Source organism: Homo sapiens, chromosome X, assembly GCF_000001405.40.
Source record: "Homo sapiens chromosome X, GRCh38.p14 Primary Assembly".
Taxonomy (NCBI): Eukaryota; Metazoa; Chordata; class Mammalia; order Primates; family Hominidae; genus Homo; species Homo sapiens.
The window spans coordinates 118,401,706-118,414,162 of NC_000023.11; the positions used below are offsets into that span (position 1 = coordinate 118,401,706).

General features: G+C 38.6%; 1 protein-coding gene across 4 annotated transcripts in view; it reads left to right on the top strand.

The window, feature by feature from the left end:
- Positions 1-12,457, top strand: part of WDR44 (WD repeat domain 44) — a 103,889-nt gene that overhangs the window by 55,633 nt on the left and 35,799 nt on the right. For all 4 annotated transcript variants that reach the window (NM_001184966.1, NM_019045.5, NM_001184965.2 and 1 more), the window contains 4 exons: positions 2,633-2,739; positions 5,170-5,321; positions 7,784-7,922; positions 9,190-9,254. In NM_001184966.1, coding sequence (NP_001171895.1) covers positions 2,633-2,739; positions 5,170-5,321; positions 7,784-7,922; positions 9,190-9,254 — 463 coding nt within the window. The remainder of the gene's footprint in view (positions 1-2,632; positions 2,740-5,169; positions 5,322-7,783; positions 7,923-9,189; positions 9,255-12,457) is intronic.

Below are 12,457 nucleotides of genomic sequence, written 5' to 3' on the forward strand. Positions count from 1 at the left end.
TGCCATTGCTTTTGGTGTTTTAGACATGAAGTCCTTGCCCATGCCTATGTCCTGAATGGTAATGCCTAGGTTTTCTTCTAGGGTTTTTATGGTTTTAGGTCTAACGTTTAAATCTTTAATCCATCTTGAATTGATTTTTGTATAAGATGTAAGGAAGGGATCCAGTTTCAGCTTTCTACATATGGCTAGCCAATCCAGAAATCAGTTTTAATAGCATGGTGTATTCGCCATAGAATTTTTTTTTCTCGTAAAAGCGGGGCTACTCTATGTCTATAGTTTGTCAACTTGCTGTTTTTTGTTTTTTTTGTTTTTTTGGTTTTTTTTTAGAAAATCAAATATATCATAGACATCTCTTTATATCAGCACTAATAATATATATATTGTAGTCTTTCTGAGAGCCAGATATGAGAGTTAAGTGCTTGGGATATAACAGTTAAGACATTAAGAGGCCAGGCGTGGTGGCTCATGCCTGTAATCCAGCACTTTGGGAGGCCGAGGCAGGTGGATTACCTGAGGTCAGGAGTTCACGACCAGCCCGGCCAACATGGTGAAAGCCCATCTCTACTAAAAATACAAAAAATTAGCTGGGCATGGTGGTGGGCGCCTGTACTCCTAGCTACTCGGGAGGCTGAAGCAGGAGAATTGCTTGAACCCAGGAGGCAGAGATTGCAGTGAGCTGAGATCATGCCTTTGCACTCCAGCCTGGGCATCAAGAGTGAAACTCTGTCTCAAAAAAAAAAAAAAAAAAAAAAAACATTCAGGATGGGTGCAATGGCTCATGCTTGTAATCCGAGCACTTTGGGAGGCCAAGGCAGGTGGATCACTTGAGTCCAGGAGTTCAAGACCAGCCTGGGCAACATGGCAGGACCCCGTCTCTACAAAAAATACAAAAATTAGCCAGGCATGGTGGTGTGTGCCTGTAATCCCAGCAACTCAGAAGGCAGAGGCAGGTGGGTCTATTGATCCTGGGATGTCAAGGCTGCAGTGAGCCAAAATCATGCCACTGCACTCCAGTCTGGGCAACAGAGCAAGACTCTGTCTCAATTAAAAACAATTTATAAAAAAGACATTCGTGGTCTCTGCCTTCATAGAACTTCTGTTAAATGGGAGAAATAGGCATTAAACATGTAATTGCACAGATAAGTCTAGCTACATTTGTAGTGATTGCTATAAAAGAAAAGTTCCAGGTGCTGTGGAGATATTACAGTAGTTCCCTCTTATCCATGGGGTATACGTTCCAAGATCCCCAGTGGATACCTGAAATCACAGATAGTACCAGACTCTGTATCTACTGTGTTTTTTCTATCTGATAACCAAGAAGACTACTAAGTAATAAGTGGGTATCATCTATAGCGTGGAAACACTGGACAGAGGGATGATTCACATCCCAGGTAGGATGGAGCAGGGTGGTGTGAGATTTCATCATGCTACTCAGAATGGCACACGATTTAAAACTTACAAATTGTTTTATTTCTGGGATTTTCCATTTAATATTTTTGGACCATGGTTGACTGGGGTAACTGAAACCATGTAAAGTCAAACTTGGGATAAACGGGGACTATGTAACAAAAACTCTGTCTAAAGTTAAAAAGGCCATTTTGAGAGAGCTGTTTGATCTGAGACCTAAAAAGTGAGTGGGAATTAGCCAAGGGAGAGGTGTTCCAGGCAGAAATAACCACACATGCAAAGCCCCTGAGGTTACTATAAGAGCTTGGCACATTTAAAAAGCTGAGGTTTGCCTCATTAATTTTATTGTATTTCATACCAGCACTTATTTATCTGTTCCTCTATTGACAAAAAAAAATTTAGTTTATTTCCACTTTTTGACTATTCTAAACAGTGTTACATTGAACTTCTCTGTATATATAACTTAACAACTTTTAAAAATACTGTCCCTCATGAGCTCCCATGAATCAGTAAAAATTTACTCCTGATTTGTATTTCTTTTGGTTTTAAATATCATCATGTACTGTGCATTGCTTTTTGTAATCTTAATATATGAAATCTGAGACTTAGCTAATTGAAAATGCAATAAGTAAGTCCTATTTATGGAAGCTTGAGATGCATACTTAGTTTACCTCGTATTTGGGAATACCTACTAGGAAAACTCAGCCTAATTTTATTACATGCACCTACCCAAACTGAAAGAGAAGGGACAAGGGACCATCTTAAGCTACCAAAGCATTCTATTTTGTGAGGAAATATCTCTTTACTCTTTATTGGTAAAATGTGTTTTTAAGAACAGCTCTCTAAAGCAGCCTTCTCAAAGCAGTTCTCACCCCCAGACTCTCTAAATTGGATTATCTGGGGATGGAGCTGAAGTACCTACACTTTAAACACTCCCCTCTCCACACTACCTCTGCCAATCAATTTTTATTCACCATTGAAAACCAAAGCTCTAGAATATATGAATATTGTAAATTGGGGGAAAGGGTGTATGTTTCCTTTGCCATATTGACTTGAATATGTTTATTCCATAGAATAAGGGATTTGGAACTCAAACACCTATTATTTATGTTTAAAAAAGTTATTTCAAAGTAGTGTACTTTATCAGTCACAGCTGATACATTTGTCTGCAAATTATTGGACTTTTACAGTTAACTGAGTTGATACTTTTTTCATTTTTGTTAAGGACTCAACTAAAGAAGTTTCTTGGAAAATCAGTAAAGAGAGCAAAGCACCTTGCTGAGGAATATGGTGAACGTGCTATAAATAAAGTTAAAAGTGTTAGAGATGAAGGTGAGTTAAAACAGAACATTTCAACTAAACATTCAATTAATTTGTAATCGTCTAAATTTAGCCTGTAGTTTGTAAGAAGCATTCTATTTAAAATAGTAAACCTTTATAGCTGACATCTTAGTATTTCAATAAATAAGGTACTCTATGACTTAATTTTATGAGTGTGAAGAAAAATGGATTTATACATATTTTGTGACTTTTGACAGTCTGAAATGGTTGAGTGTTAAATAATCAGTTATGAATTAGTTTCGTTTGTTTGTTTGTTTGTTTATTTGAGATGGAGTCTTACTCTGTTGCCCAGGCTGGAGTGCAGTGGCGCGATCTCGGCTCACTGCAAGCTCCACCTCCCAGGTTCACACCATTCTCCTGCCTCAGCCTCCCGAGTAGCTGGGACTACAGGCGCCTGCCACCACACCTGGCTAATTTTTTGTGTTTTTAGTAGAGACGGGGTTTCACTGTGTTAGCCAGGATGGTCTCGATCTCCTGACCTCGTGATCTGCCTGCCTCGGACTCCCAAAGTGCTGGGATTACAGGCGTGAGCCACTGCACCCGGCCATAAATTAGTTTTTTAAGGCTATTTGGTTTTGGGTTTTTCTTTTTTCTTTTTTTTTGAGAAAGTCTTGCTCTGTCGCCCAGACTGGGGTGGAATGGCATGATCTTGGCTCACTGCAACCTCCGTCTCCTGGGTTCAAGCCATTCTCCTGCCTCAGCTTACCAAGTAGCTGGGATTATAGGCACACACCACCACACCTGGCTAATTTTTGTATTTTTAGCAGAGACAGGGTTTTGCCATGTTGGCCAGGCTGGTATTGAACTCCTGACCTCAGGTGATCCACCCACTTCTACCTCCCAAAATGCTGGAATTACAGGCATGAGCCACCACGTCTGGCCAAGGCTATTTTTTTCTTTTTTGGAGATGGAGTCTCGCTCTGTCACCCAGGCTGGAGTACAGTGGCACGATCTCGGCTCACTTCAACCTCTGCCTCCTGGGTTCAAACAATTCTCCTGCCTCAGCCTCCCAAGTAGCTGGGATTACAGGCACCTGCCACCACACCTGGCTAATTTTTGTATTTTTAGTAGGGACAGGGTTTCACCATGTTGCCCAAGCTGGTCTCGCACTGATGACCTCAGGTGATCTGCCCACCTCAGCCTCTCAAAGCTCTGGGATTACAAGCGTGAGCCACCGCGCCTGGCCAGCTATTTGGTTTTTACAAATACAGTCAGTCCTCCATATCCATGGGTTCCACATGGAGGGATTCAAACAACCACAGATAGAAAAATATTTTTAAAAATATATAAAAAATAACAATGCAACAATAAAACATAATAGAAAAAATAATATAACAACTATTTATATAACATTTACACTGCAGTAGATATTATAAGTAATCTAGAGATTATTTAAAGTATACAGGGCGAGGCATGGTGGCTCATGCCTATAATTCCAGTACTTTGAGAGGCCAAGACAGGAGAACCGCTTGAGGCCAGGAGTTCGAGACTAGCCTGGTCAAACATAGTGAGACCCTGTCTCTACTAAAAAATAAAAATTAGCTTTGTGTAGTGACGTGTGCCTATAGTCCCAGCTACTCAGAAGGCCAAGGAGCAGGATTGCTTGAGCCCAAGAGTTCAGGGCTGCAATGAGCTATGATTGCACCATTGCACTCCAACCTGAGACCCTGTCTTTAAAAAAGAAAGCAAGTACGTGAAAGGATGTGCATAGGTTATATGCAAATACCATGCCATTTTATGTTAAGGGATTTGAGCATTCGCAGATTTTGGTACCCATAGCAGGTCCTGCCATGGATACTGGGGAATAACTGTATTTTCAAAATTAGGTAGGGCTGGGTATGATGGCTCATATCTGTAATCCCAACACTTTGGAAGGCTAAGGCAGGAGGATCACTTAAGCCCAGGAGTTGGAGACCAGCTTGGGCAACATAGTGAGACCCCTGTTTGTATAAAAATAAATAAATAAATTTTTTTAATTAGGTAAATTTTCTAAATTTGCACATATCTTAACCTCCTATGCTTTTGTCATTATTGTACTCATTTGTTTTATTTAATGAAACTTACATAGTACTTATTCAGTGCCTGGGACTGTACTAAGCACTTTTACCTGTATTAATTCATTTAATCCCATAGAAACCCTATGAGGTAAGTACCATCATTATCCCCATTTGATAGATGAGAAAACTAAGAGGCATCGAAAGTTGAGTAACTTGCCTGTGGTCACACAGATAATAAATGACAGAGCTGGATTTGAACCTGGCAGTCTGGCATTAGACTCCATGTTTTTAACCAGTATGTTATATAATAAATAAATTTTGCTCTTCCATTTAATGAATTTTCTTGGTATGCAGGAAATATGAAATTATGATAATAGCAATATCTACATTAGCTAGTAGTGATTTCTGTTGCTTTTCTGTTCAGTGTTTCATACTGATCAAGATGATCCTTCATCAAGTGATGATGAAGGAATGCCATACACAAGACCAGTTAAATTCAAAGCAGCACACGGTTTCAAAGGACCTTATGATTTTGATCAGATCAAAGTGGTGCAAGATCTTAGTGGTGAACATATGGTAAGCAACTTTTTCATTTTTTAGGATTGATACTGTTTTTGTTAAGAGAAATACTTTGGCTTCTACAAAACTATCTCTTTCTATGTATGTAACTTTGCTAGCCTGACTCAAGAACGGGGAATTTATGTTAACATGATTTAATGAATAGGTAATGCAAAGTCTATCTCTGAATTATTCCAGAAGTGACTTATCGGCCAGGTGCGGTGGCTCACGCCTGTAATCCCAGCACTTTGGGAGGCCAAGACAGGCGGATCACTTGAGGTCAGGAGTTCGAGACCAGCCTGACCAACATGGCGAAACCCTGTCTCTACGAAAAATATAAAAATTAGCCAAGCATGGTGGCGGGTGCCTGTAATCCCAGCTACTTGGGAGGCTGAGGCAGGAGAATTGCTTGAACCCAGGAGGCAGAGGTTGTGGTGAGTCGAGTTTGTGCCACTGCACTCCAGCCTGGGCTACAGAGTAAAAAACTCCGTCTCAAAAAAAAAAAAAAAAGAAAGAAAGGAGTTATTGAATAAGTAAACTCTCAGGCTGTATCACTAAGAAAGCTATGCAAAGGCACCAAACTTTAAAGCAGTTAGATTAGAGGGTGTAACTTTGAAAAATGTTTAAAATGCTCCCAACCATATTTTAAATAATTTACAAAATATATCAGAAGCTCAATATATGTTGTAAAGTGAGATATTCAGCTAAAACAAGGAGAGAGGTAAAAGTTCAAGTTCTCCTTTAGAGTTCAAATGTACCAATGTAGATGCAATTGCACAAACTGTATTGTGGTTAACCCCTGAAAATGCTAGGAACACAAAGAAGGCAGTGATAAAATTTAGATCTGAATAAATAATACTGTGCCCTTGATCAGGGAATCTGTTTACATTTTAAGTCTAAAAGTTGGCTTAACTAGAATGAAGCAACCATAAATATATTGGATGGCAACCAAATTCAAATTTAAATTTTGATGTTTACAGATAAATGTTTGAGTTGATTTTAGTATTTTCCTTAAGGAAATTGATGAATTTCCTAGTACTGTATTGACTCGTTATTTCCTGTTTTAAATAAAATCTCATCGTAGTAGGCTCCAAATGACTCATTTTTAATACACTTGAATTTTGTAGAAGTGAATGGTTATTTCAATAAATGGGCTGTGGCATAATCTTTTTGATACATCTGAATGTGTATATAATAGTATTTCTTGTAATAAGATTTGGTCTTTCCAACTTAAGAGGTTCATGTTCTTTCTCCCTGCTCCTCCACCCCCACCACACACACATACTTTCCTATTGTTCTCAGTATCTAGAGATTCTGGTCATATACTTTGAAACCTTGTTTCTAGAGAGAAAAGTAGGATGAGACCACACCACTCCAATACAACTACCTTTTTTTTTTTTTCTTTTTGTGGCAGAGTCTCGCTCTGTCACCCAGGCTGGAGTGCAGGGGCGGGATCTCAGCTCACTGAAGCCTCTGCCTCCTGGGCTCAAGCAGTCCTCCCTCCTCAGCCTCCTGAGTAGCTGGGACCACAGGTGCGCACCACCATGCCTGGCTAATTTTTTGTATTTTTTGTAGAGATGGGGTTTCGCCATGTTGCCCAGGCTAGTCTCAAACTCCTGAGCTCAAGTGATCCACCCGCCTGGACCTCCCAAAGTGCTGGGATTACAGGCGCGTGCCACCACGCCCGGCCCATTCCAAAACTGTAATACTTCTAAGTGCTGGATGCTATACGGGTCACTGCCAAGGTGGGCTTTAGTCTTCCTCAGTCCTGCTCAGTTGTTAGTGCTATGCTGAGGGCTCTGCCACCCATCTTTACGTTCAGCTAGGGGACTAAGATCCCCAGCTAGGATTTGTGCTTTTCCAATGAAGATTTCTGACCACTTTAGAACTCCCATTTCTGTTAATATGTGGACAGGGTTTGAGTTCTTGAAGTTGTTAGTTTAGATTATGGAACACTACAACTATCTTACCCTACCTTTCTTGTGAAAGTCTACTTTTGTGGTATTATAGCACCATTGAACTTTTGGACTTAAGTAGTGTTAGCAATTTGAGCATTATCTTAGTATATGTAATTTGGCGTAATTTTAAACTTTGGCTTTAAAGTAATGTCTCTATTTTATTTTATTTATTATTATTTTTAGATAGAGTTTCGCTTTTGTTGCCCAGGCTGGAGTGCAATGGCGCGGTCTTGACTCACTGCACCCTTCACCTCCCAGGTTCAAGTGATCCTCCTGCCTCAGCCTCCTAAGTGGCTGGGATTACAGGCGCCCGCCACCATGCCCAGCTAATTTTTGTATTTTTAGCAGAGATGGGGTTTTACCATGTTGGCCAGGCTGGTCTCGAACTCCTGACCTTAGGTGATCCACCTGCCTCAGCCTCCCAAAGTGCTGAGATTACAGACGTGAGCCACCATGCCAGGCCAAAAGTAAAGTCTCTAAAGGTGTAAAGTATTAACTTTGAAACTTCTTTTGTTTTCATAGGGAGCTGTTTGGACCATGAAATTTTCTCACTGTGGCCGATTACTTGCCTCAGCTGGACAAGACAATGTAGTGAGAATATGGGCTTTAAAAAATGCTTTTGACTATTTCAACAATATGCGAATGAAATACAATACTGAAGGTATTTTTCATCTATTTAAAAATCTACAGAAACCTGAAGTTTTTACATTTTAGGTATACTGATGCCCTACTTTTCTGGCAGTCATTTGCAGCAACCACTACTTATGATAATAGCCAAAAACTTGAAAGTAAGACAGACGTCAGTGGCAAAAAGTCTCTAAACCCAATGAAAAGAGCTGCCACAAAGCTTTTGATTTATTCCTTTCCAGGTGTAGTGTGTAGTTAATTTCATCAACTATTGAGAACATGATATTTGGTTTCCTCTGGCAACCTTCAGTTCTATCCTAGGTTAAAATAGAATTGCTAATTAAACTGGAAAAAGAATGAAAATCATATATATCCAGTAAGTAAAAATGATTAAGGAAAAAGTCATGGAAAATGAATGTGAATTGTCAATATATCAAGGGATATATGAAAAAATGTTGAAAAGAGAAGCCTCAGAACATTATGTACACACTGATTACAACTATGTACAGATATTTATGTATCATGGTGTTATCAGGAAAGTATGTAGAACTGATGTAAATTTGGGCTTTAAGTTCATGGGATTCTTTTCTAATAACTATTTAACTGTGTAATAAGTTTTTTCCACACCCTCCCCGCCATCAAGTAAGGCTGCAAACGAGAAGTAAAGCATAGGAGAAAGGAGAAGAAAGGTGGCCATGGGTGAGAGTATATAGTCAAAGCACCAATTTGAGGAACATAAAAGTCTAGGGAGATTCACTAAACTGGCAAGCTAGACCTCATATACTTGAGTAAATCCTGTGAGTATTGCTTGCATTATGTTTCAGTACTTAGTTGAAGATGATAATAATTTGACAAGAAGTTAAACTGTGTTTACTATATGGTGAGTTTTTCTAGTCCTAGCTGTGTGTCATTTCTTTTACTGCCCTGCCAAGAGCAAAAAGACTATTTTCAGTGGCCCTTGAGACTAACCCCAGCCCTGAACCTTTCTGCTCCTTTATTGTTCCTCTTGCTACTTGTCATGATTAATAAGAATGTGTTCTATTCGAATACTGAGGATTTAACGGTATTTTGTTTACTAAAGTAGGGAAATGGTTAAGCCATTTTATGAAGTTTTTATGTAAAAATGATTGAAACAAATATTTTGGCTCCTATAGGGTTATGCCTCAATTGTTAGTATTTTTCTAGAATACTGTATTCTCTAACTATTAGACATTGCTGTGTCATTACTTCTGGATGTTATATTTTGGTGGGTCTGTGTGTGTACATACATGCCTTTTTTACAATTATTATGTTGTTTTTAGGACGTGTGTCCCCATCACCCTCTCAGGAAAGTCTAAGTTCATCAAAATCGGATACAGATACAGGGGTATGCTTATTGTTTTATGGTTACTCTGTTTTCAGGTATGATTTAATTTGTTTACCATAAAGTATTTTTGTGTATCAGAAATTACAGTTGCATGAAGACACTTAATATAAAATTAAGATGTATCATTAGAACCAAGAGTTTCTTCAATTAGAAGAAATTAGCAAATGAAAATTTTTGATATTTAAAGGTTGCCAGACAGTGAATACTATTGCTCAGGGTACTATACCACTAATGTAAACTTAAATAATACAAAAGCCCCTCCCCTCAAATCCATGTTAGACATTTTTAAAATAATGATAATAGATACCCAAATAAGAGGTAATTAAGGAAAGAAAAAATATATTTAAGTATTTTAATTTTCTAATCTTCTTGGTTTAATAAACACTTTATCACAGTTTCAGATAAGGTATCTTAATGATTTTCATTTGGTTTTAGAGCTGGAAGGTTAAATATAACCAATTTTAAACCTATAAAGCAGAATACACAATATTGTACTAAGTTGTCACCTGTGTTTTTTGTGTGTTGCATTAGGTAAGGGTGATATAAACAAGAGAACCTAAAATGTCTACCTGCTCAACAGTATTTTCCTGAGATTTCATTGGCTCCAGTATTTGACACTACGTTTTCTCCTTCTCCTGGCTTTCCATGGTTCTGTTTCCCTTTGTTCTCTTATACTCCCACTGTTTCTTCTTCCATCTCCTTACATTTACTGTTTCTCAGGGTCTGTTCTTGGCCATTTTCAATAGACATATTTATGCTCTTCTTCTAGTCCTGAACTGGCTTTAGATCTGTAATTCTTTGTTTACTTTCAGTAACTTTATGATTTTTAAACAAGAACATTATTGTGCTTGCTGCCTTTTCACATAATATATAGGATCTCTTTATCTACATGTAATCCAACCACATCAACTAATAGGTCCAAAACTAAACTCCTTCAACAAATGTTTTCTGAGTGCCTGCTATATGTGGCAGACACTGCTACATGCTATAAAATCAAATGAGACATATTCTCTGTCCTCAGGGATCTTGTGAACTAGTGAAATGGGTAAACTCACAATTACAGTATTAGATGGTGATATTCTACAGAAGGTACTACACAAAAATAGGTTAGCCTTATAAATCACAGTGTTAGGAATAGTTTCCTGGAAACTTGTTATTTGAGCTAGGATTTAGCTATATGAGAGAAGAAAGGAAGGAGCGTGTCAGACCCAGGGACTAGCAAGTGCAAAAGCATGGAGGCTAGTATGTTAAAGGTACTACAAGGAATTACACATGGCTGGGAAAGGTGCATTTGTGAGATTGGTGGGAGAGGTAGGCAGGAGTGGAATTTTAAATGACTTTTTGTGATGAACCAAGATGGAACTTTATCCTGCAAACTACTGGGAGCAGGGTGGGGCTTTGAAGGATTTCACTCAGAGGCATAATTACCATGTTCAGATTTTTGTTTTAGAAAGAGTATTCTGGTAGTATTGTGAAGGATAGACTAGGTGGGGGCTTCAGGTTTGAGACAGGGAGACCATGTAAGAGGCTATTAACCCAGAGAAATGGTTACTTCCGATTTTGATGATTATGATACCAGTAGAGCTAGAAACTGTAAAGATAAGCTGAATTGAGAGATGTAAAATAAGTCTAATTTGTAGGACTTGGTGACTGACTAGCTGGGGTAGTAAAAGTGAGTAGCCTGGGATGAATCACAGGTGTCTAGCTTGCGTAGTTAGCTACATGGTAATGGTCACTCATAGAAATATTTTTTATATTTTAATTTTTCCATAAGTTATTGGGGTACAGGTGGTATTTGGTTACATAAGTTCTTTAGTGATTTTGGTGCACCCATCACCCAAGGAGTATACACTGCACCTATTTGTAGTCTTTTATTCCTCACCCTCCTCCCACTCTTCCTCCCAAGTCCCCAAAGTCCATTGTATCATTCTTACATCTTTGCGTCCTCATAGTTTAGCTCCCACATATCAGTGAGAACATACAATGTTTGGTTTTCCATTCCTGAGTTACTTCTCTTAGAATAATAGTCTCCAATCTCATCCAGGTTGCTGCAAATGCTGTTAATTCATTCCTTTTTATGGCTGAGTAGTATTCCATCGTGTATACATACCAGTTTCTTTATCCACTCGTTGATTGATGGGCATTTGGGTTGGTTCCACGTTTTTGCAATTCCAAATTGTGCTGCTATAAACGTGCGTGTGCAAGTATCTTTTTCTAATAATGACTTCTTTTCCTCTGGGTAGATACCCAATAGTGGGATTGATGGATCAAATGTTAGTTCTACTTTTATTTCTTTAAGGAATCTCCACGCTGTTTTCCACAGTGGTTGTATTAGTTTACATTCCCACTAGCAGTGTAGAAGTGTTCCCTGATCACCACATCCACGCCAACATCTATTTTTTGATTTTTTATTATGGCCATTCTTGCAGGAGTAAGATGGTATCACATCGAGGTTTTGATTTACATTTCCCTGATTATTGTGATGTTGAGCATTTTTTCATACGTGTGTTGGCCATTTGTATATTTTTTTGAGAATTGTCTATTTATGTCCTTAGCCCACTTTTTGATGGACTGTTTTTTTCTTACTGATTTGTTTGAGTTTGTTGTTCATTCTGGATATTAGTTAGTCCTTAGTTGGATGTATAGATTGTGAAGATTTTCTCCCACTCTGTGGGTTGTCTGTTTACTCTGCTGACTGTTCCTTTTGCTGTGCAAAAGCTCGTTAGTGTAATTAAGTCCCAACTATTTATTTTTATTGCATTTGCTTTTGGGTTCCTGGTCATGAAATCCTTGCCTAAGCCAATGTCTAGAAGGGTTTTTCCAATGTTATCTTCTAGAATTTTTATGCTTTCAGGTCTTAGATTCGAGTCCTTAATCCCTCTTGAGTTGATTTTTGTATAAAGTGAGAGATGAGGATCCAGTTTCATTATCCTACACGTGGCTAGCCAGTTATCTCAGCACCATTTGTTGAAAAGGGTGTCCTTTCCCCACTTTTTATGTTTTTGTTTGCTTTGTCAAAGATCAGTTGGCTGTAAATATTTGGGTTTATTTCTGGGTTCTCTATTGTTTTCCATTGGTCTGTGTGCCTATGTTTATACCAGTACCATACTGTCTTGGTGACTATGGCCTTATAGTTTGAAATCAGTAAGTGTGACGCCTCCGTATTTGTTCTTTTGCTTAGTCTTGCTTTGGCTGTGTGGGCT